At 52.1% G+C, this 24,497-nt stretch overlaps 2 protein-coding genes across 12 annotated transcripts in view, besides 5 other annotated features; both read left to right on the top strand.

The window, feature by feature from the left end:
* DCUN1D2 (defective in cullin neddylation 1 domain containing 2) overlaps window positions 1-2,842 on the top strand; it is a 35,745-nt gene extending 32,903 nt beyond the window's left edge. For all 8 annotated transcript variants that reach the window (XM_017020647.2, XM_017020649.2, NM_001014283.2 and 5 more), the window contains one exon: window positions 553-2,842. In XM_017020647.2, coding sequence (XP_016876136.1) covers window positions 553-632 — 80 coding nt within the window. In that variant the 3' untranslated portion in view covers window positions 633-2,842. The remainder of the gene's footprint in view (window positions 1-552) is intronic.
* Window positions 1,713-2,643: an enhancer, noted in NCBI's record as "H3K4me1 hESC enhancer chr13:114110333-114111263 (GRCh37/hg19 assembly coordinates)". NCBI's record gives its function as "activates a minimal SCP1, AML or CMV promoter by ChIP-STARR-seq in naive H9 embryonic stem cells {active_cell/tissue: H9 hESC(naive)}" and the evidence as "EXISTENCE:reporter gene assay evidence [ECO:0000049][PMID:30033119]".
* Window positions 2,843-5,172: 2,330 nt separating the features above from the next.
* Window positions 5,173-24,497, top strand: part of ADPRHL1 (ADP-ribosylhydrolase like 1) — a 53,879-nt gene continuing 34,554 nt past the window's right edge. For 2 of the 4 annotated variants that reach the window (NM_001394807.1, NM_138430.5), the window contains exons 1-2: window positions 5,173-5,437; window positions 14,072-14,236. In NM_001394807.1, the coding sequence (NP_001381736.1) occupies window positions 5,224-5,437; window positions 14,072-14,236 (379 nt within the window). In that variant the 5' untranslated portion in view covers window positions 5,173-5,223. The other 2 variants (XM_047430086.1, NM_199162.3) reach the window with 2 other exon arrangements.
* Window positions 6,640-7,141: an enhancer, noted in NCBI's record as "H3K4me1 hESC enhancer chr13:114105835-114106336 (GRCh37/hg19 assembly coordinates)". NCBI's record gives its function as "activates a minimal SCP1, AML or CMV promoter by ChIP-STARR-seq in naive H9 embryonic stem cells {active_cell/tissue: H9 hESC(naive)}" and the evidence as "EXISTENCE:reporter gene assay evidence [ECO:0000049][PMID:30033119]".
* Window positions 9,143-9,502: an enhancer, noted in NCBI's record as "active region_8038". NCBI's record gives its function as "activates an Ori minimal core promoter by ATAC-STARR-seq in GM12878 lymphoblastoid cells {active_cell/tissue: GM12878}" and the evidence as "EXISTENCE:reporter gene assay evidence [ECO:0000049][PMID:35858748]".
* Window positions 11,830-12,771: an enhancer, noted in NCBI's record as "H3K4me1 hESC enhancer chr13:114100205-114101146 (GRCh37/hg19 assembly coordinates)". NCBI's record gives its function as "activates a minimal SCP1, AML or CMV promoter by ChIP-STARR-seq in primed H9 embryonic stem cells {active_cell/tissue: H9 hESC(primed)}" and the evidence as "EXISTENCE:reporter gene assay evidence [ECO:0000049][PMID:30033119]".
* Window positions 12,471-12,570: a silencer, noted in NCBI's record as "silent region_5547". NCBI's record gives its function as "represses an Ori minimal core promoter by ATAC-STARR-seq in GM12878 lymphoblastoid cells {active_cell/tissue: GM12878}" and the evidence as "EXISTENCE:reporter gene assay evidence [ECO:0000049][PMID:35858748]".

Raw genomic sequence — 24,497 nt, 5'->3', positions numbered from 1 at the left:
ACCGTCCCTAGATCAGGGGCACCCAGTAAATGCTTGTCAAATGAAAGAAGGGATCACTGAATCTCATTGACAGAAGCGCGGCTTCCAGGATTGAGGCAGCAGTGCAGGAGCTCAGAGGGCACTCAGGGCTGCCGGGGTGGGGAAGGGAGCAATGGGGTGGTCCCACTTGGGAAGAGCCGCAGGAGGGAGCACCCCCTGCTGGCAAGAATACCAATGACCTGAGGAACATGCCTCCTGCTCCGCGGGGGTCCATTTAGCTCCCTTCCTGAGCAGCTGGTGTGACTGCCTGGGGCACTCACCGAGCATCCGGGGCCACTGTGAGCCCACAGCCCCCTAGACATGCCAGCACACACACACCAGGGCTCCCGACCTGGCCGTGCTAGGGCGAAAGAACTGGGTAACTTGGGCTGGTTCATTCTGTGAAACACAAATGGTGTGGACCTCAAGTCATTTGGGTTCTTGAAGTGTAAATGTTGGATTGATGTGTGACTCAGTGCTTTGGAGATAAAAACGGTGCTCTAACGGGTTTTCTGTTTGCTTGCTTTCCTTTAGGAGCTTGGCCCGTTCTTATAGATGATTTTGTAGAATATGCACGGCCAGTAGTCACAGGTGGAAAACGCAGCCTTTTCTAGGCAGCAAGTTAAGCAGGAGTAAGATTATGAAATGATTTGTATCCTGCAAGGAGATTGCAGTCAGTTCCTGGGTGCATTGTCGCTGATTCCAGAAGTCATTCTTGACCAGCCATGAAACCAGAGGCGCCATCCCATTCTGCCGGAGGACAGCCAGCGGCTGCTTTGTGGACACCGCAGGAAGTTCCTCGGGACACGGCTGCTTTGGGATGTTTGGAGATTTGTCATCATAGCTTTTGCGTTAGGAAATTTCTGCATGATTTTTTAATATTTACAAAATACTAAGGTAGAGCCATAGCGCCGCCTGTGGGACCGCAGAGCATGCTGCGTAGCTCGCGCGTCAGGCGAACCAGCGTCCGGCAGCGTCCCGCCGAATGACGTTGCGGTGGCACTGGCAACACGGCATGTGTCCTCTGCAGGGCGCTGCGTTTTTATACACGTCAAAGCTGTTAAGAATGTGCCCTAAGGGAGAGGATCTTGTCGTAGAGTCTAATGTTTTTTAAAATTGGTGCCAGCAATTCACGATTTATATTTTTTGAATTACCAAATATCTAGATTTACCAGCTCTATTTTTGTTTTCATTTTCTCTAGACATTCATCTGAAAATCATTTTATGGTTCTCAATCCCCATGTAGCTTTGCATAGCAACGGCACACGTGGCACGATTCCAGCAGAGTTTATCTCACACCGTTTATATATCACTGGGCCTCTCTTACTTAAATATTATTTGACCTGCCTGAGAAGCTTCATAAAGTATGTTTTTTTAAAATATATTTTAATTACATTTAAAAAGACATTTTTCCATGAAAAACATTTATTTTATGAGTGATGAATTATAGATTTTAAAATCAAGGCCGGGCGTGGTGGCTCACACCTGTAATCCCAGCATTTTGGGAGGCCGAGGCAGGTGGATCACCTGAGGTCAGGAGTTTGAGACCAGCCTGGCCAACATGGTGAAACCCTGTCTCTACTAAAAATACAAAAATTAGCCGGGCATGGTGGCACATGCCTGTAATCCCAGCTACTCAGGAGGCTGAGGCAGGAGATTCGCTTGAACTCAGGAGACGGAGGTTACAGTGAGTCGAGATCGCGCCACTGCACTCCAGCCTGGACGACAGAGTGAGATTCTGTCTCAAAATAAATACATACATACATACAATAAAACCGAATGAGCTGGTTCTTTCCATCCTCTTGTGGTACCCGTAGTGCCCAGCATCCAGACCTTTGTGCCCCTGTGCACATTTGGAAGCTAAAATGTACATCGTTGTCTGAAAAAACCCAACCCCAAAACCTTCATCTGATTGGTGAGCTGAAGTCTGTCCTTGCACCATGTTATCATCTGTTTCTCGTGTCCGCCTGGTTGAGGAGGACCCACGAGTGCTGCCGAGGTGTGGAGGGCTGGTATTGAGTTGTGGACATCACTGTTGACCCTACCTCACGTGCCGAGACTCTCATGTCACAGGCGTGCCTTGCTGCCCCCCTGCAGCACTGTGCAGGACGTGGACCAGCTGGAGCTGCTGCCCAGCACAGAGGAGAGTCGCCGCAGATGACCTAGCTGCGGTGTGAGAGAGCATGGCCCAGACAAGCAGCTGGGTTGGCTTCTGAGAACAGGACTTACCCTGGGCTTCAGGAACATCTGATGGCTGAGGTTAGTGTGCTTGGAGGCTGCAGGACGAACTGTCGATGTTTCTTAGCAGAGATGGTCACAGAGGGCAGCAGGGACAGGACTGGAAGGGACCTGCAGCCTGCAGACCCCGCCTGGCCCCCGCTGGCTTCTGGCTGGTCCAGTGATGGGCAAGTGACAGACCTTCCCCAGGCTCTGCTTCCAGAACTCTAATGGGAAACTGGGCCTGTCTACCTTTAGAAGTCTTCGATTCTCAGAGAGCATTTGTCTAATACAATAAAAACTGGCATTAATACAAACCTCAAAAACGTGAGCGTATCTTCCAGGCTTCATGGATTCTTGACATGTAATTGTTTTGTTCAGAAAAGTTTATAGAATTCACATAATTCTGTATAAACTATGGAGATCCACAGTACTTTTTTGTTTTTGAGATTTAAAGTTCTAAGGGATTGTCAATAGATATCAAAATATTAATCATTGGACAAAGGCTTTTCCAAAAATTGTGGGTTTTTTTCTTCTGTTGTATCCATTTGAGTCCTGCATGCTGTGAAATGCTGAGAACAGAAGCATTAAATTGGTTTTTCTCGGGCGTGGTTTCCTTTCGATTCTCCTCAGCTGCAGGGATGTCTGCCTATAGGTGTCAGCATCCACGTCATTGTCCCAGGATGAGAGAACAGCCCCCAGCTAGCAACCAGCGGGCAAGCCCCTGCCCCCGTGTGTGGCCCGCCAGCCCTGGCCAGGTAACCAGGTCCTCAGGTACCTTCTGTCATTGCGTTGCCTCTCAGCGGTGCACCGTGCACCTGATGGGGTGGCTCATGTGAGGAATGAGAGATCTCACAATAGGCAGGATTTACGGGAGTGTGTCGGGGCAGGAGGTCATGTGTGCCAGCACAAACTGCTGGAAACCGTCCCTTATCGGAGGCAAACGGCCAAGCACGGGGGTCTGAGGATCATGTGCTACCTGCCGATTCACGGTGCACCTGCCAGCGTTCCGGAATCAACAACGCCAGCTCCTCTCAGTGACATTGTACATGTCATTGTGTTATTTTCGCTTGAAGTTTATATCCATTTTAGACCTCAGGCTTCTTGGGGCCAAGAATAAACTTTCTTCTGATCCTTGTTGCTGTGTCCACAGTTTCAGGTACAAAGTAGGGGCTCTGCAAATATTTGTTGGATAAACGAGCTAACCTTATCCCGTCCTGTTTGCTGAGGGAGCCAGCTAGTGCTCTTGGCAAAGGTTTCCGCCGCCTGCGAACTGAAGCGCTCAGCGAGCGGGCTGTGTTAATCCCCTCAGCAGCACACGCTTCGGCCCCACAGTGCAGTTGTGCCTAAAACAGGTGAGAGTTTGAACGAAGGGCCGCCCCTCCTGTCTGTCTTGTTTGGATAGGGACCCTGCGTGCATGCTGTTTTTTGTTTTGGAGTTTTGTTTGTTTGTTTGTTTGTTTCTGAGACAGAGTTTTGCTCTTGTTGCCCAGGCTGGAGTGCAATGGCGTGATCTCGGCTCACTGCAACCTCTGCCTCCTAGGTTCAAGTGATCCTCCTATCTCAGCCTCCCAAGTAGCTGGGATTACAGGTGCCCACCACCATGCCCGGCTAATTTTTGTATTTTTAGTAGAGACGGGGTTTCATCATATTGGTCAGGCTGGCCTCAAAATCCTGAGCTCAGGGGATCCGCCCGCCTCGGCCTCCCAAAGTGCTGGGATTACAGCCATGAGCCACCGCGCCCGGCCTGCATGCTGGTTTTGAAGTTTGTTTCTGAATCTCAGGATCATGCTAGCTGGCATGACTGTGCTGATGGCTGCCTCCACCAGCAGACAGTGGAGGGTGAGGTGAACTCACTGCTTGAGATCCTCCGTTTTAACAAGTGCTGATATAACGCCAGGCGGTTAAATGCTTCCTACTGTCTCGCTGTACACTACGAGAGTTTTTATCAGACGCATTTCTTCAGTCCAGGTGTAACTCTTTGCTTCCCCTGGGTCTGATGGAAACCAGGCCCCGAGGAAGGAGACGGGAGAGACACAGCCCTGCTGGGCTCCCGGCCTCTGCGGAGAACTGTCCTGGGGTGGGGTCGGGAGATGGACTGTTTTCCTAATTTATTTCAAACCAGGAACCCTGGCTGTGTGCATTCTGCCTCACCCCCCGTCTCCATATTTTTTAATATTCTTTTCATGAGCTAGCAGGGATGATGTAAATACACTGAGCTGACCGAGGGCCGGATGGGAGGTTCTAGTGAAGCCTGCGGTTTGCTGACGACTTTCCCCCTCAGTGCAGTCCAATTATTTGGGAGCCGTTAAACACCGCATGCTGAGAAGACACCGTCATTGTTCACACAGGAGCTAGATAGACTTTGTTCCCTCTACACTGCATTTTTTAAAAGTTTTCTATCAAAAACACATTTCATAATCGAAAAGTTTTCTAAATGATAAAACCGCATGTCACAGATTAATCTCAACATTATGTTGAGTGAAGGAAGCCAGACACCGAAGGCCACACATTGTATTTGAAATGTCCAGGAAAGGCAGAACTGTAGAGACAGCAGATGGGTTGTTGCCCGAGGGGTGAGGGCACGCCCCGCAGCGGGCGGCAGTGACAGGCACGCCTGCACACATCTGCTCCCGCATCACCCCACGCCACACACGGGGAAGTGTGCGCACTCCTTCCAGGGACAGCGAGAGGAGCCCCTGCTCTGTCAACGCTCTGAATGTGCTGCGGCTGCCGGCAGAAGCTAGCAGGCTCCTCTGCTGAGGAGCTGGTGCCTGTCCAGACGCAGAAGAAAACTGACACCTCCCACGTGGGGGACAGAAAGGTCCTCTCATTGGTGCCACCTGCAGAGATAGACAAGGAGCGCCTGGCCATCAGAGGACGCTCCTGACAGTGACACAGTGACCACTATAAAAGTCAGGCGGGCTGAGGAGGAGACAAAGGCCAGGACGCTCCGCAGCTGTTGGGGAAGAGGAGCTGCCTCCTGGGATGGAGAAATTTAAGGCTGCGATGTTGCTGGGGAGCGTCGGCGATGCTCTTGGCTACAGAAATGTCTGCAAGGAGAACAGCACTGTAGGCATGAAGATCCAGGAGGAGCTGCAACGTTCCGGGGGCCTGGACCACCTCGTACTCTCGCCAGGAGAATGGCCCGTGAGTGACAACACCATCATGCACATCGCAACCGCCGAGGCCCTCACCACAGGTAGGCTGGGCCCACCGCGCTCCGGTGTGCGGGCTGGAGGGAACACTGGCTGCTCGAGTTCTCCCAGTAAGCCTCCGAGAGCTTTGAAGGCAGTGCGGTCCTTCAGCGGATGGTGTTACCTGATACCGCTGCTAAAAGTGGCAATTTAATCTGAGTGTCCCTCAAATTTGATATGCGGCAGATCACGTTTCTCCTGTGGTTTCTCTGAGGGTGACAGTATTACTTTACTTTGCAGTTATTAAGATTCAGTTTTTAAACGTGACTTTTCACTTGTATTTGTAAAGCGTTAACTAGGCCTAGCACCTTCTGTTTCTAATAGAGTTAAAGCCAGTGAAGCCTCTCTCGGCCGTGCTGGTGGGAGTAGGGTGAGGGCTCACTTCTCGCTGCAGAGATTAAGCCTTCTTGTTCTGAATTCATTACAAAGGGATGTAAAATAAGCCAGTTTGAAATGTGAACCCATTAATACTGTTTGGGGATTAGTTCTAAATTCCAATGAATTAAAGTTAGAATATCATCTCCCAAAATGGTTCAGCTTGGAGAGTTGCCCATACACAAATGTGTTCTAAGAAAATGACATAAACTTGATTGGACGAGATTGGAGACAAAGCTTCTTAAAATACCTTTAAGTAGCAAATTGATTTTAGGATCAAGCTTTTGCATGAATTTCAGGGAAATGGCAGGTGCACAGACATGCAGTCCAGCTTTCCTACGAGGCATTTGCTCTTCAAAACCCCGTGGGTGCTGTTTATCATGGCAGAATTAAAATCTGAGGGCTGCAGCTAAGTCAATGAAATCTCACTTATGCGTTCACTCCACCATTCTGTTCATCTGCCATGGACGTGCCCAGTTTAGTTCTGTGCTCACAGCAGAGGAATGCCATCGAGCCTGTGGCCGGTCCCTAAATAACGGGAGAGCTGAAGCGCCGGCGATAAGATAAGGCTCCCGGCTTGCTGGAGACGGGGAGGCGTCCGACTGTTCACAGCCTTGGCGTCCAGGAGCTCCTGCTTCTGGTTTTCCAGGCGGCCACTCGTGTGCCCTTAGGACCAGCAACCCCATGCTTGTGCCCCGCAGCCCAGAACAGGTGCACCCCACACACAGACACCTGTGGGACACAGCTCCGGCTTGTTTTCACCGTAGACGGCTGGAGCTCACTCTTGAGTTTGGCTTCCTCTGGGCGTCTGATGCCGTGTGTGCGCTCATACCAGCTCTGCATGTCCCATTTCTGGTAGCACTTGGTGGGCGTTTTGTAAATGGCAGCGTCCATGGCTGTGGGTCTGGTCCTGCCAGGCCCGCAGGGAGGGCAGCGGCACAGGACACTCCAAAAGTGCACCGACGGAGATCGGCCCAACAGGACACGAAATTCACACAGTTAAAAGGGTTACGGACGTTTAGGGCACTGTTTTTTGTTTGTTTTTTGAGACGGAGTCTTTCTCCATCGCCCAGGCTGGAGTGCAGTGGCGTGATCTCAGCTCACTGCAACCTCCACCTCCCAGGTTCAAGTGATTCTCCTGCCTCAGCCTCCTGAGTAGCTGGGGCTACAGGTGCCCACCACCACGCCCGGCTGATTTTTGTATTTTTAGTAGAGACGGGGTTTCACCACGTTGTCCAGGCTGGTCTCGAACTCCTGACCTCAAGTGATCCACCCACCTCAGCTTCCCAAAGTGCTGGGATGACAGGCGTGAGCCACCATGGGGCGCTATTCTTAAGGAGGAAGTAAGTTTGCTCTAAGCTCTCAGGGTCCTCAGCTGTGGACTGGAAGGGAGGGTTCACTGTGCTGCTGCAGCGTCTAGTTTGTGGGTCATGAGAAAATACGCATCCAAGATCACCCCTGGAATTGCTTACTGTGGGCGGCAAGCCACCCAGGCACTGAGGCAAGAGACAGAGGACACGAGCTGTTCCAGTATAATAAAACAAGAATAGTTATACCAGATATAGATCTTAGATATGATTATATATGAATATCATTAATCATTAGTTTGTAGCAATTACTTTTTATTCCAATATTATGATAATCCTCGCTCTATAATCATAGCCTAGGAAAAACCAGGCCATACAGAGATAGGAGCTGAGGGGACATAGTGAGGTGTGACCAGAAGACAAGAGTGCGAGCCTTCTGTTATGCCCGGACAGGGCCACCAGATGGCTCCTTGGTCTAGCTGTGACGCCAGCGTCTGGGAAGACGCCCGTTACCAGGCGGATCGTGGTCCAGCAGTAGCAAAAGGTGGCAAGGAACAACACCTGCTACTTAGCAGACCAGGAAGGGGGGGGGGGTCTCCCTTTCCCCAGGGGAGTTTAGAGAAGACTGCTCTTCCACCTCTTGTGGAGGGCCTGACATGAGTCAGGCTCGCCCGCAGTTATCCGGAGGCCTAACCGTCTCCCTGTGATGCTGTGCTTCAGTGGTCACACTCCTAGTCTGCCTTCATGTTCCATCCTGTACACCTGGCTCTGCCTTCTAGATAGCAGTAGTAAATTAGTGAAAAATTAGTACTATCAGTACTAATAGTCCCTGATATGCAGAAATAATGGCATAAGCTGTCTTTCTCTCTGTCTCCTCTCCCTCTCTGCCTCGGCTGCCAGGCAGGGAAGGGCCCCCTGTCCAGTGGACACGTGACCCACATGACCTTACCTACCATTGGAGGTGACTCGCATTCTTTACCCTGCCCCTTCTGCCTTGTATCCAATAAATAACAGTGCAGCCAGACATTCGGGGCCACTACCGGTCTCCGTGCATTGGTAGTAGTGGTCCCCCGGGCCCAGCTGCCTTTTCTCTTATCTCTTGTCTTGTGTCTTTATTTCTACACTCTCTCGTCACTGCACACAGGGAGAGACCCACCGACCCTGTGGGGCTGGTCCCTACAGCTTACCCCTCTAGAAACCAAAGCAAGCAGATTTTTTTCAACTCACTAAAAATCAAAGTCGAAATTTCACTTAAGTTTATCTTTGTTCTTTAAATAACAAATTGTAGCCTATGGAAGGGGGTCTTTAAGCTGTGTTAACAATGGTGAGGGCTGGGCACAGTGGCTCACGTCTGCAATCCCAGCATTGTGGGAGGCCACGGTGGGCAGATTGCCTGAGCCCAGGAGTTCTAGATCAGCCTAGGAAACATAGCAAGACTCCATCTCTACAAAACGACAATGGTGAGTGCTGACTCCACAGCACTTCTGTACCAGGCATTGTTCCAGCTGCTTCACGCATGTTATCCTCCACACATGCTCCTCACATCACCGTGGAGGCTGATTTTATCACAATCTTACAGGAGAAAAAATTGACATACAGAGAGGTTCAGGCGCTTGCCCAGTGCCACACAGCCCAGCGAGTGGCAGAGCTTGGACGGGAACCAGAGAATCTGGCCCCTGTGCTCGTAAGCATCCTCCCTGACTGCTGAGATCACGGTGGCCTGCAGGTATCCTAACAATTGCAGTGTGCAGGGGCTCTTCAGCATGCTTTCCAAAGACAGGCAGACTTTTACAAATGGAACTACGTTTGGCAGCTTTAAGTAAGCTGCACTGAAAAGTCCTTCACCCCACGAGCCACGGGGCTGTGTGGTCTGGCAAACCCTGGCTCTGCTGCTAGAGTGAGCACAGGTCTGAGGGTCGGGGCAGCCTGTGTGGCTCCCTCCTTCCGGGTGAGCCTCTCTGAACCGGGCTGCCTCCTTCCGGGTGTGTCTCTCTGAACGGGGCTCCCTCCTTCCGGGTGAGCCTCTGAACAGGGCTGTCTCCTTCTGGGTGAGCCTCTCTGAACCGGGCTGCCTCCTTCCGGGTGTGTCTCTCTGAACGGGGCTCACTCCTTCCAGGTGTGTCTCTCTGAACAGGGCTGCCTCCTTCCGGGTGAGCCTCTCTGAACAGGGTCCCTCCTTCCGGGTGTGTCTCTCTGAACAGGGCTCCCTCCTTCCGGGTGAGCCTCTCTGACCGGGGCTCACTCCTTCCGGGTGTGTCTCTCTGAACAGGGTCCCTCCTTCCCGGTGAGCCTCTCTGACTGGGGCTGCCTCCTTCCGGGTGAGCCTCTCTGACTGGGGCTGCCTCCTTCCGGGTGAGCCTCTCTGACTGGGGCTGCCTCCTTCCGGGTGAGCCTCTCTGAACAGGGCACGAGAGCAGACTCTGAACCAGGAAGTAGCCGTGTCTAGCGCTCTACAAGACACATAGGAGAGGTGGCATCCATGGCCCTGAAACGACAAGCCCATGTTGCCAGCGCATTATCACCAAGTCACTTGGCAAGCGTTTAGCAGGTGTGTGTGTGTGCCAGGCCTGGGGAGGGGCGGCCTCGCACAGAGAGCTCGGCCATTGCTCGGGTATGCAGCTGGCCATTCCCAGCTCCCTACCCCCACTCCCTGGGAAAACTGGGGAAGTGGCTTCCCTCCCAGGGCCTTCCTCCCTCACAAGGTCACAGAGGATTAAACGGAGCAACCAGCAAAGTGTGAGGAAGCACTTAGGCCAGTGTGGGAAGTTGGTGCAGGCCCGTGTGGCCGAAGGCACATCTGACATGTCTCTGCCCTGAGGCTCACTCAGCCAACTTCAGGGCCCAGCAGGATGGCGGGAGGTGTCACCTGGCCACAGCCTCCAGGGCACAGGGCCAGCACCTTCTCAGCCTCTCCCGGGGCCCTGATAACTGGGAGTGGCACTTCAGCTCATGGCAGAAAACGTTTGGAAACAGTTGACATTTTGCTACAAGATCACTGGATGTTAGTATTTTGCCTTTTCTTTATTGAGACATGGGTTGGGAGACTCAGGCACCATTTTTTTTTTTTTTTTTTTTTTTTTTGGGACATAGTCTCACTCTTTTGCCCGGGCTGGAGTACAGTGGCGCGATCTCGGCTCACTGCAACCTCCACCTCCTGAGTTCAAGCGATTCTCCTGCCTCAGCCTCCTGAGAGGCTGGGCTAACTTTGTATTTTTAGTAGAGACGGGGGTTTCACTATGTTGCCCAGGCTGGTCTCGAACTCCTGACCTTATGATCTGCCCATCCCAGCCTCCCAAAGTGCTGGGATTACAGGTGTGAGCCACTGCACCCGGCCCCTCAGGCAGCTTTAGAAACTGATTTGTCTTTCAGGAGACCAGACAGGGAAGACAGGAGACAGGAGTGGAGTGTCCCAAAGGAAAGAGACCCGGGGAGAAGCCCAAGGGTAGCAGCTTTGAAAATCTGTTTCTCGCTTAAATTCTAACCTGAAAAGACAATGCTGTTTGTGCCATTTTGTTTTATGGCTTCTGTTTGCTTTGAAAAGGCTAAATTTCAGTTGAATACAGACATTTCATGTCTAATTCCAGAATAAAATGAATCCTTTTAGGGGACTCAGGAAGGGCTAGGCTTGTTAACCCAGGACTGAGTTGAGAAAGGCTGTTTGTGGATCCACTGTGCCGGTGACTGTGAGGGGCACACACTGGGTTTAGACACAGCCTGGACAAAGCCACGCAGCTGTACCCCCATCCAGGGGTTTCGGGTGCAGGCGAAGGTGACCTTAATTCCTGCAGGAATGCAGCCCTCACACCTCTCCTATGAGACTGCAGGACTCGTGTCTCCCAAACCACAGTCTTGCCACATTCTCTCTCCTCCCTGACTCAGAACTGGGGTGATGAACATGGCGTCATGTAAAACAATACTGTGCATGCACACAACACCATGTGTGCAGACAACATGTGTGTAGACACCATACACATACAATGTGCATGTAGACACCATGCACACAAAACACCGTGAGTGTAGACACCATGCACACACAACACCATGAGTGTAGACACCATGCACACACAACACCGTGCATGTAGACACCATACACACACACCACCATGAGTGTAGACACCATGCACACACAACACCGTGCATGTAGACGCCATGCACACACAACACCTTGCATGTAGACGCCATACACACACAACACCGTGAGTGTAGACGCCATGCACACACAACACCGTGCGTGTAGACGCCATGCACACACAACACCGTGCGTGTAGACGCCATGCACACACAACACCGTGCGTGTAGACGCCATGCACACACAACACCGTGCGTGTAGACGCCATGCACACACAACACCGTGCGTGTAGACGCCATGCACACACAACACCGTGAGTGTAGACGCCATGCACATACAACTTGCATGTAGACACCATGCACACACAACACCGTGACTGTAGACACCATGCACACACACCATGCATGTAGACACCATGCACACACAACACCGTGCATGTAGACACCATACACACACAACACCGTGCATGTAGACACCATGCACACACAACACCGTGCATGTAGACACCATGCACACACAACACCGTGAGTGTAGACACCATGCACATACAACTTGCATGTAGACACCATGCACACACAACACCGTGACTGTAGACACCATGCACACACACCGTGCATGTAGACACCATGCACACACAACACCGTGCATGTAGACAACACTGTGCGTGTAGACAATACTGTGCATATAGACAAAGCCATGCCTGTATGACAACACGGTGCATGTAAACACCCTGTGTTTACACAGCGCAATGCTATGCATTTATGACAATATCATACATGCAGGACAGACAATACCATGTGTGTAGACAACACCATGCACATACAACACTGCGCATGTAGACACCAGGTGTGTTGGCAACACTGTGCATGTGGATAACACTGTGCACATAAGACAACACTGTGCATGTAGACAACACCGTGAGAGTAGACAATGCTGTGAGTATAGACAACGCCGTGCCCATATGACAACACCGTGCATGTAGACAACACTGTGCACAGGCCAGCCGGCCACGCCTCCCAGGACTGCCCCTCTCTTCAGAGGCCTCTGCTGGGCCGGGTCAGGGAACTGGTGGTAGGAGGACACAACATACAGTCCTTGTCCTGAGCACTTCTCCGGGGGTTTGCAGCCACGGGAGCCCTCTCTCTCTGGGGGGTTCACAGCCATGGGGCCCTGAGTGCTCTCTCTGGGAGGTTCACAGCCACTGGGCCCTGTGCACTCTCTCTGGGGGGTTTGCAGCTGCAGGGCCCTGAGCGCTCTCTAGGGGGTTCACAGCCAAGGGGCCCTGCTTGTTTTCTCTGGAGGGTTTGCAGCTGCGGGCCCTGCGTGCTCTCTGGGGGGGAGGGGGGAGGGGGGGCCTGCAGCTGTGGGGCCCTGCGTACTCTCTCTGTGGTAGGAGGTGAGGAGGTTTGCAGCCGCCGGGCCCTGCACGCTCTCTCTGTGGGGTTTGCAGCCGCTGGGCCCCAAGCACTCTCTCTGGGGGGTGTGCAGCCTCAGGATCCTGTGCACTCTCTCCAGGGGTTTGCAGCCATGGTCCCTACACGTGCGTGCTCTCTCCAGGGGTTTGCAGCCATGGTCCCTACACGCGCGTGCTCTCTCCAGGGGTTTGCAGCCATGGGGGCCCTGTATGCTCTCGCCAGGGGTTTGCAGCTACAGAGGTTTCATGTCCTGGAGGAGGAGTGACTTTGCCAAGTGCCCTTCCTAATCTCACCAACCCATCCATGCTAGGACATCTGGCTCTGATGCGGCTGAAAAAGGCCCCAGCCACCAGCAGGAAGGTCTTTTGCTTCCAAGTGCCATTTCTGCCCCATGGAGGGTGGGCCAAGCCTCCATCTTCGCCTCCCTCTCCCCATTCATTCCCACCCCTCCCCTCCCCAAAGGTGGGGAATTCATCACCAAGGAAAAGGGAGCAGTGGCGTCTCCCGGGGCTGACCCGCAAGCCCAGAGTGCAGTTTTAGTACAAAATGAAAACAAGTTGCTGGGTGTTAAAGTGGCCGTTGGGAGGGGCGCCCTCGCCGGCCCCACCTGGTGGGCATCCGCCTGCCACAGCCTGTCCTGGCATGGCCAGGCACCAGGGCTCTGATTTTAGAGGCTGTGTGGACTCCATCCACACACTGCGGGTTACTTAATCACAGAAATGCTCGGGCTTTGCAGGCAAACACCTTTGTCAGCTCTGGCTTTGGCCAAGACACATAACCTCACTGAGCCTTATCAGGGAATATGGCAAATAAGAACTAGCCCTTGCTGTGGGAGGACGTCTGGGCCTCCCGCGTGCTGGGCATAGGGCTGGTGTCTGCTGTGTCCAGCTCCTTCACCCTCGTGCCCCAGGGTCTTTCAGGGCCTCGAGCCCACCCTTGTTTCCGGAACACTGCTTGTGGGGCTGGGGATGCTGCTTGGTGGCAGCTGTCCCTGCAGCACCTGGGTTTCTGGCAAGAGAAGAAGGAGCTGGAGCTGGGCACACTGGCCTCCACCATCGGCGTCACAAGCCCATAGAGTAGGCCAGTTTCGGTTCTGTTTGTGGCCACATAGATGGAACCATTAGAAAAGGGGCACGGTGGGGCTGGGTGCAGTGGCTCACGCCTGTAATCCCAGCACTTTGGGAGGCTGAGGTGGGCAGATCACAAGGTCAGGAGATCGAGACCATCCTGGCCGACATGGTGAAACCCCGTCTCTACTAAAAATACAAAAAAATTAGCCGGGCGTGGTGGTGGGCACCTGTAGTCCCAGCTACTCAGGAGGCTGAGGCAGGAGAACGGAGTGAACCCGGGAGGCAGAGTTTGCAGTGTCTGCCCTCCCTTTCTTCCCCAGACTATGGTGCCTGACCCCGCGGGAGGGAGGCCACAGTTCACACCACAGCTGGCTCTGATGTCTGCCCTCCCTTTCTTCCGCAGACTACTGGTGCCTGGATGATCTGTACCGGGAGATGGTGAGATGCTATGTGGAAATCGTTGAGAAGCTTCCAGAACGCCGGCCAGACCCAGCTACCATTGAAGGCTGTGCTCAGCTAAAGCCCAATAACTACCTTCTCGCCTGGCACACACCGTTCAATGAAAAAGGTCAGGGAAATCCTCTCCTCTCCCCCTAAAGCCACCCTGCTGGGGACCCTGCGGTCCTAACCATCTGCCTTCCACTAACCCCCAGCATCTCCAGGTGGCTTCAGTGAGGCCGGATCTGCCTAGAGTCCCTTTGTCGGGTGGGGGCCCCTCCTGGTCAGCCCGGCCAGTGCGGGCGTCTGTTTAAGGAATATGGGCAGGGGCCCCTCCTGGTCAGCCCGGCAAGCGCGGGCATCTGTTTAAGGACTATGGGCAGGGGCCCCTCCTGGTCAGCCTGGCCAGTGCGGGCGTCTGTTTAAGGAATACGGGCAGGGGCCCCTCCTGGTCAGCCCAGCCAGCACGAGCGTCTGTTCAAGGAACACAGGCGGGGCCCCTCCTTTGTCAGCTCTATATATTATAAATATTTTCTCCCATTGTATGCCTTGCCTTTTTGTTTTCTTAATGGTATCTATTGAAAAGCACGCTTTAAATTTTTTTTTTTTTTTGAGATGGAGTCTTGCTCTGCCATCTAGGCTGGAGTGCAGTGGTGCGATCTTGGGTCACTGCAACCTCCGCCTCCCGGGTTCAGGAAATTCTCCGGTCTCAGCCTCCAGAGTAGCTGGGACTACAGATGCCCACCACCATGCCCTGCTAATTTTGTGTTTTAGTAAGGATGGGGTTTCACCATGTTGCTCAGGCTGGTCTCGAACTCCTGACCTCAGGTGATCTACCTGCCTTGGCCTCCCAAAGTGGTGGGATTACAGGCGTGAGCCACCATGCCCAGCGAAGCTTTAAATTTTTTTTAATCATTTATTTATTTATTTATTTTGTAGACAGGGTCTCACTCCATCACCCAGGCTGGAGTGCAGTGGTGCAGTCATGGCTCACTGCAGCCTTGACCTCCCAGACTCAAGCAATCCTCCCACCTTAGCCTCCTGAGTGGCTGGGATCACAGGTCCATTCCACTACACCCAGTTAATGTTTTGGTTGTTTTTTTTTTTTCTGTAGAGAAGGGGTTTCACCATGTTGCCCAGGCTGGTCTTGAACTCCTGAGCTCAAGCGATCTGCCCACCTCAGTCTCCAAGTGCTGAGATTACAGGCAGGAGCCACCACACCCAGCCAAGACTTAAATCCTAAAAGCAAAACCCAGAAAGATCAAACTATTTTCAAGTAAATTAACTGTATCCCAAGACAAAGGTCAAGAATAGTTATAGGAATATAAAAATATCCAGGACTCAACAGCATATGAGGCATGCAAAGAATCAGGAGAATCCAGTTCCTGACAAGGAAAATCAATAAGTCCAAACTGACAAGGCCCAACACAGGTGTCAGAATTCTCAGACAAGGACATAAAATGCCAGATACTCCATGTGTTCAAAAAATTAAGTAGAGACGTGAAAGGCATTTTTGAAAAGATCCAAATCACATTTCTAGAAATAAAAACTATAATGTCTCATTTTAGAATACATTGGCTGAGACCAATAGCAGATTAGACATTTCCAAGAAAAGGTTAACAAACTTGCAGGCAAGCAGCAGAAACTATCCACGGTGAGACACACAAAGAGAAAGAATCCAAGATGAAGGGAGGACCAGCGACCCGCGGGCGGCCTCAGGCAGCCTGACGCATGTGTCTGCGTCCTCAGCACAGAGGAGAACAAAAGCAACATAAATACTTGGAGAAATAATTGTCAAAATTGTTCCAAATTTGATGAAAACTATAAACTCACAGATACAAGAAAATCAATTCCAAGCACAAGAAACATGAAGAAAATGACAGCAAGGCACACAGTAGTTAGATTGCTCTGAAGTAATACTCAAGAAGAATCTTGAAGGCCAGAGAAGAAAGACACACATCACACACAGAGAAGCAACAGTAACAATGACAGCAGATGCCTTGTCAGAGCGATGTGAGTGAGAAGACGGTGGAGCCACATCATTAAGCTACTGAAAAAAATACAACACTTCAACCTAGCATTCTTTCTGGGGATAGTGCAGAGCCTTGCTCTGTCACCCAGGCTGGAGCACAGTGGCACAGATACGGGTGCCACTTACTGCAGCCTCAGCCTCCTGGGCTCAAGCAATCCACCTGCCTCAGCCTCCCACATAGATGGGACAACAGATGCGTGCCAACACGCTTGCCTGTTTTTCTTATTTTTTGTAGAGAGAGGATCTCACTTTGTTGCCCTGACTGGTCTTGAACTCCTGGGCCTCAACAACCCTTCTGCCTTAGCCTCCCAAAATGCTGAGATTACGGTGTGAGCCACCATGCCTGGCCTGTTAGAATTCTACACCCTGAAAAAAATATCTTTCAGAAATGAAGGCAAAATAGCCTTTCTCAGACAAACAAAAGCTGAAAGAATTCATCACCCACAGAGTCATGTAACAAGAAATGCTAATGGAAGTCACTCAGACAGAAGGAAAACCGCACTGGATGCAAACAGAGACCCGCGCCACAGGACACAGCGTGATAGAGACGCGGACGCCGCGTGGCGGGACACAACGTGACAGAGACACGGACCAGCACGGTGGAGTAAAGCGTGATAGAGACACAGACTCACACACAGGGTGGGGACAGAGTGTGATAGTGACACGGACCCACGCGGCGGGACACAACGTGACAGAGACACGGACCCGTGTGGTGGAGTAAAGCGTGATAGAGACACAGACCCACACGGCGGGGCGGAGCATGATAGAGACACGGACCCAAGTGGCGGGACATGGCATGATAGAGACATGGACCCACGCAGCGGGATAGAGTGTTACAGAAATGGTAACTGTATGGGGAAATGTGTAAGATTTTAAAACATGTTATTTAAATATCTTTAAAAGATAATTGACTTAAAAATAATAATGAACGGTATGGTTTATAAAATATAAGTAGAATGTACAACAACAATAGCACGAAGGCTAGCAGGGGAGAGATGGAAGCCGATGACGGTGAGGTTCCCACACCGTGTATGCCACAGTGTCATCCCACAGCTGTAACGAGCTGCAGACGGACACCATGAACCCAAAAGCCACCGCTGAAATCACAGAAGAGTTAGCAATAGTAAGCCCCAGCAAAAGAGTTAAAATTGAATCCCTTGAGAAACATTCAACCCAAAAAAGGCAGAAAAGGGGGAAGGAGGGACAAATACTAGACAGTACAGGTAGAAAACAAACAAGATAATAATAATGACGCCAAATGCGAATGGTGTGAAGACCCCCAATAACAGTCAGAAGTTGTCACATTAGATAAAGAAGCAGGTCCCAGCCCCCAACTATGTGCTGCTTATAAGAAACAACTTTTTAATTTTGAGATGGAGTCTTGCTCTGTCGCCCAGATTGGAGTGCAGTGGCGCAATTTTGGCTCACTGCAACCTCTACTTCCCGGGTTCAGCTGATTCTCCTGCCTCCACCTCCCAAGTAGCTGGGACTACGGGCGCCCACCACCACACCTGGCTAATTTTTGAATTTTTAGTAGTGACAAGGTTTTGCCATGTTGGCCAGGCTGGCCTCAAACTCCTGGCCTCAAGTGATCCGCCCACCTTGGCCTCCCAAAATGCTGGGATTACAGGCATAAGCCACTGTGCCTAGCCAAGGAATACACTAAAAACAAGCAAACAAACAAACAACCAAAAATCTCCTGTTGCACTTCAGTAACACTTTAAATATAAAGACGTAAATAGATTAAAGCTTCTAAAAAAGAAAAATAGACCAGGTGCAGTGGCTCACACCTGTGATCCCAGAACTTTGGGAGGCCAAGGCGGGTGGATCATCTGAGGTCAGGAGTTCGAGACCAGCCTGGCCAACATAGTGAAACCCTGTCTCTACTAAAAATACAAAAATTGCTGGGTGTGGTGGTATGCCCCTGTAATCCCAGCTACTTGGGAGGCTGAGGCAGGAGAATTGCTTGAACCCAGGAGGCGGAGGTTGCAGTGAGCTGAGATCGTGCCACTGCACTCCAGCCTAGGCCACAGAGTGAGACTCCATCTCAAAAAAAAAAAAAAAGATGGAAAAATATACCACACTAACACTAATCAAAAGAAAGCTGGAGTTACTATATTAGTAACACATACAGTAAAATTTTGGAGCAAAGAATATTCCCAAGAATAAGGAAGGTAATTTCATCCTAGTAAATGGATCAGTTCATCAGGGGGACATAACAAACCTAGATGTCTCTGTACCTAATAACAGATCTTCAGAATATATGAAGCAAAAACTGACAATGCTGCAAAGCGAACTAGAGAAACCCACAGTTATAGGCAGTGATTTCAACATGAAGGTCTCCAGCCATTGGCTTTCATTTTCACGTTTTAAAACCAGAAAACTCATAGCAAACTAAGCCAAAAGAAAGCAGAAGAAAGAAAATAGTGAAGATCAGCATGAAAATCAATGATTGAAAACAGAAAAAGAGTAGAGCAAATTAATAAAACCAAAAGCTGGTTCTTTCAGGAGATCAAAACAATTGAGAATCCTCTAGCTAGACTGATGTGGAAAAAAGAGAAAGACAAATCATCACTATGAACGAGAGGAGTAAAATCACCAGAGTCTACGGAAATTAAGAGGAAAATAAGGGAATATTATTCACAATTTTATGCCAATACATTTAACAACTTAGATTAAAAGGACAAATGTTTTTGAAAGACATAAACTACCGAAGGTCACTCAAGAGGAGAAAGGTCATCTAAATAGTATTACATCTTATGGAAGAAATTACAAGGCCAGTCATGGTGGCTCACACCTGTAATCCCAGCACTTTAGGAGGCCAAGGCGGGTAGATCACCTGAGGTCAGGTGTTCGAGACCAGGCTGGCCAACATGGCAAAACCCTGTCTCTACTAAAAATACAAAAATTAGCCAGACATGGTGGTGGGCACCTATAATCCAAGCTACTCAGGAGGCCGAAGCAGGAGAATTGCTTGAACCCAGGAGGTGGATGTTGCAGTGAGCCGAGATCACATCACTGCACTCCAGCCTGGCGACAGAGCAAGACGCCGTCTCAGGAAAAAAAAAAAAAAAAAAATACAAAGAAAACTGTAGGCCCAGGCTGGGCACGGTGGCTCACACCCGTGATCCCAGTACTTTGGGAGGCCAAGGCCGGCAGATCACCTGAGGTCAGGAGTTCGAGACCAGCCTGGCCAAAATGGTGAGCCCTCTCCTCTACTAAAAATACAAAAATTAGCTGGGCGTGGTGGTGCACACCTGTAGTCCCAGCTATTCAGGAGGCTGAGGCACAAGAATCACTTGAACCCGGGAGGCGGAGGTTGCAGTGAGCTGAGATTGTGCCATTGCACTCCAGCCTGGGCAACAGAGTCAGAGTGAGACTCCGTCTCAAAAAAAGAAAAAAAAAAGGAAAGAGAATTTCAGTCCCTGATGGCTTCACAGGGTATTTACCAAATGTTTGAGGAATAAATAATATAAATTGTACATAACTCTTCCAAAAGATTGAAGAAGAGGAATACTTCCCAAATTCATTTTTCTGCTCTCCAGGAAACTCTATTTAATGAATGAAAAGGCAAGTCAAAGCTGGGAGAAAATATTTGCAAAGCAGATATCTGATAAGGACTTGAGTCCAAAATGCATAAAGAACTCTTCCAACTTAAGAAGAAGAAAGCAAGCAACCCCATACAAAAATGGACAAGAGGGCCAGGTGTGGTGGCTCACACCTATAATCCCAGCACGTTGGAAGACTGAGCCAGGAGGATCACTTGGACCCAGGAGTTCCAGCCCAGCCTGAGCAACATACTGAGATGCCATCTCTATTATAAAAAAGAAATTTTTTTTTTGAGATGGAGTCTCGCTCTGTCACCCAGTGGCACAATCTCGGCTCACTGCAACCTCTACCTCCTGGGTTCAAGCAATTCGCCTGCCTCAGCCTCCAGAGTAGCTGGGACTACAGGTGCGTGCCACCATGCCACTTAATTTTTGTATTTTTAGTAGAGACAGGGGTTTCACTATGTTGGCCAGGCTGGTCTCGAACTCCTGACCTCAGGTGATCTGCCTGCCTTGGCCTCCCAAAGTGCTGGGATTACAGGCATAAGCCACCATGCCCAACTATAAAATTTTTTTAAAAGAATAAAACATGGGCAAAACTTCTCCAAAGAAGATATATGGGTGGACAATAAGCACAAAATCATGCTCACCATCTTCCGTCATTAGAAAAATGCAAATAAAACCACAATGAGATACCATTACATAACTAACAGAATGGCTAAAATTTTTAAAAATGTAGCAAGTGCTGTCAGGGCTGTGGAAGATCTACTGGAGGGACATCAAATGGTTCTACCACTCTGACTCTGGAAACCCATTTGGCAGTTTCTTTAAAAGTTAAACATTCTGCCAGGCGTGGTGGCTCATGTCTGTAATCCCAGCACTTTGGGAGGCCAAGGCAGGCTGATCACCTGAGGTCAGGAGTTCAAGACCAGCCTGGCCAACAAGGTGAAACCTCATCTCTGCTAAAAATACAAAAACTAGCCAGGCATGGTGGTGTGTGCCTGTAATCCCAGCTACTCAGGAGGCTGAGGCAGGAGAACTGCTTGAACCTGGCAGGCGGAGGTGCACTGAGCTAAGATTAGGCTGCTGCACTCCAGCCTGGGCCACAGAGCAAGACTCCATCTCAAACAAACAAAAAAGTTAAACATTCATCACCACGTGATCTGGAGGCTCTGCCCCAGCATTCGCCCAAGAGAAGAGAGCCTCTGTCCACACCAGGATCTGGTGCCTCATGCTCAGAGCCCCAGACTGGACACAGCCCAAACTGCAGGTCTGCAGATAGAGCAGCCATGGCAGATCAATGCAAGAGGGAGCTATTCAGCCATAAAAAGGAATCACTATTGATCCCCAACAACGTGGGCGCTTCTCAGAGCAGTTATAAGGAGTGACAAAAGCCAGGCGGAAAGCACGGCACGTTCTCCGTGATTCTGTTTACACAGGGCCTGGAACACGCCGAGTAACACGCACGGTCGCAGCAGTGGGGCTTGGGAGAGGCAGGAGGACGGATTGCAGAGGGCACCGGCGGCTTCAGGGTCAACAGAGGCATTCACTCTGCACCTGGGTGCTGGGTCCCGGGGTACACCTGTGTTCACCCTGCGCCTGGGTGCTGGGTCCTGGGGTACACCTATGTTCACTCTACACCTGGGTGCTGGGTCATGGGGTACACCTGTGTTCACCCTGCGCCTGGGTGCTGGGTCCCGGGGTACACCTATGTTCACTCTATGTGTGGGTGCCGGGTCCCGGGGTACACCTGTGTTCACTCTACGTGTGGGTGCTGGGTCCCGGGGTACACCTATGTTCACTCTACGTGTGGGTGCTGGGTCCCGGGGTACACCTGTGTTCACTCTACGTGTGGGTGCTGGGTCCCGGGGTACACCTATGTTCACTCTACGTGTGGGTGCTGGGTCCCGGGGTACACCTATGTTCACCCTGCGCCTGGGTGCCGAGTCCCAGGGTACACCTATGCTCACTCTACACCTGGGTGCTGGGTCCCGGGGTATACCTATGTTCACTCTACACCTGGGTGCTGGGTCCCGGGGTACACCTATGTTCACTCTACGTGTGGGTGCTGGGTCACAGGGTACACCTATGTTCACTCTACACCTGGGTGCCGGGTCCCGGGGTACACCTATGTTCACCCTGCGCCTGGGTGCCGGGTCCCGGGGTACACCTGTGTTCACTCTACACCTGGGTGCCGGGTCCCGGGGTACACCTATGTTCACCCTGCACCTGGGTGCCGGGTCCCGGGGTACACCTATGTTCACCCTACACCTGGGTGCTGGGTCCCGGGGTACACCTGTGTTCACTCTACACCTGGGTGCCGGGTCCCGGGGTACACCTATGTTCACCCTGCACCTGGGTGCCGGGTCCCGGGGTACACCTATGTTCACTCTACACCTGGGTGCCGGGTCCCGGGGTACACCTATGTTCACCCTGCGCCTGGGTGCCGGGTCCCGGGGTACACCTGTGTTCACTCTACACCTGGGTGCCGGGTCCCGGGGTACACCTATGTTCACCCTGCACCTGGGTGCCGGGTCCCGGGGTACACCTATGTTCACCCTACACCTGGGTGCTGGGTCCCGGGGTACACCTATGTTCACCCTACACCTGGGTGCTGGGTCCCGGGGTACACCTGTGTTCACTCTACGTGTGGGTGCTGGGTCACAGGGTACACCTACGTTCACTCTATGCGTGGGTGCCGGGTCCTGGGGTACACCTATGTTCACTCTACACCTGGGTGCCGGGTCCCGGGGTACACCTGTGTTCACTCTACGTGTGGATGCTGGGTCCCGGGGTACACCTATGTTCACCCTGCGCCTGGGTGCCGGGTCCCGGGGTACACCTGTGTTCACTCTACGTGTGGATGCTGGGTCCCGGGGTACACCTATGTTCACTCTACACCTGGGTGCTGGGTCCCAGGGTACACCTATGTTCACTCTGTGCCTGGGTGCTGGGTCCCGGGGTACACCTATGTTCACTCTACATGTGGGTGCTGGGTCCCGGGGTACACCTGTATTCACCCTGCACCTGGGTGCCAGGTCCCGGGGTACACCTATGTTCACCCTACACCTGGGTGCTGGGTCCCGGGGTACACCTGTGTTCACTCTACACCTGGGTGCCGGGTCCCGGGGTACACCTATGTTCACTCTACACCTGGGTGCCGGGTCCCGGGGTACACCTGTGTTCACTCTACACCTGGGTGCCGGGTCCCGGGGTACACCTATGTTCACTCTACACCTGGGTGCCGGGTCCCGGGGTACACCTGTGTTCACTCTACACCTGGGTGCCGGGTCCCGGGGTACACCTGTGTTCACTCTACACCTGGGTGCCGGGTCCCGGGGTACACCTGTGTTCACTCTACACCTGGGTGCTGGGTCCCGGGGTACACCTGTGTTCACTCTACACCTGGGTGCTGGGTCCCGGGGTACACCTATGTTCACCCTACACCTGGGTGCTGGGTCCCGGGGTACACCTGTGTTCACTCTACACCTGGGTGCCGGGTCCCGGGGTACACCTATGTTCACTCTACACCTGGGTGCTGGGTCCCGGGGTACACCTGTGTTCACTCTACACCTGGGTGCCAGGTCCTGGGGTACACCTATGTTCACTCTACGCCTGGGTGCTGGGTCACGGGCTACACCTATATTCACTCTACGCCTGGGTGCTGGGTCACAGGGTACACCTATGTTCACTCTATGCGTGGGTGCCGGGTCCCGGGGTACACCTGTGTTCACTCTACACCTGGGTGCTGGGTCCCGGGGTACACCTATGTTCACTCTACGCCTCGGTGCTGGGTCACAGGGTACACCTATGTTCACTCTATGCGTGGGTGCCGGGTCCTGGGGTACACCTATGTTCACTCTACACCTGGGTGCTGGGTCCCAGGGTACACCTATGTTCACTCTACACCTGGGTGCCGGGTCCTGGGGTACACCTATGTTCACTCTACACCTGGGTGCCGGGTCCCGGGGTACACCTATGTTCACTCTACACCTGGGTGCCGGGTCCCGGGGTACACCTGTGTTCACTCTACACCTGGGTGCCGGGTCCCGGGGTACACCTATGTTCACTCTACACCTGGGTGCTGGGTCCCGGGGTACACCTATGTTCACTCTACACCTGGGTGCCGGGTCCCGGGGTACACCTATGTTCACTCTATGCATGGGTGCCGGGTCCTGGGGTACACCTATGTTCACTCTACGCCTGGGTGCTGGGTCCCAGGGTACACCTATGTTCACTCTACGCCTGGGTGCCGGGTCCCGGGGTACACCTATGTTCACTCTACACCTGGGTGCCGGGTCCCGGGGTACACCTGTGTTCACTCTACATGTGGGTGCTGGGTCCCAGGGTACACCTATGTTCACTCTACACCTGGGTGCCGGGTCCCGGGGTACACCTGTGTTCACTCTACACCTGGGTGCCGGGTCCCGGGGTACACCTGTGTTCACTCTACATGTGGATGCTGGGTCCCGGGGTACACCTATGTTCACTCTACGTGTGGGTGCTGGGTCACAGGGTACACCTATGTTCACTCTACGCCTGGGTGCTGGGTCCCAGGGTACACCTATGTTCACTCTACGCCTGGGTGCTGGGTCCCAGGGTACACCTATGTTCATCCTGCACCTGGATGCTGGGTCACGGGGTACACCTATGTTCACTCTACGTGTGGATGCTGGGTCCCGGGGTACACCTATGTTCACCCTGCGCCTGGGTGCTGGGTCCCGCGGTACACCAGTATAAAAATCTTAGGGTCGTGCATGTTTCATTATGCCTAGTTTGTTGTATGTAGTTATAACTCAATGAAGCTGTTT

The sequence above is a fragment of the Homo sapiens genome, chromosome 13 (assembly GCF_000001405.40).
Source record: "Homo sapiens chromosome 13, GRCh38.p14 Primary Assembly".
In the NCBI taxonomy this organism is placed as follows: Eukaryota; Metazoa; Chordata; class Mammalia; order Primates; family Hominidae; genus Homo; species Homo sapiens.
This window is presented reverse-complemented; position numbering and strand designations above follow the sequence as displayed.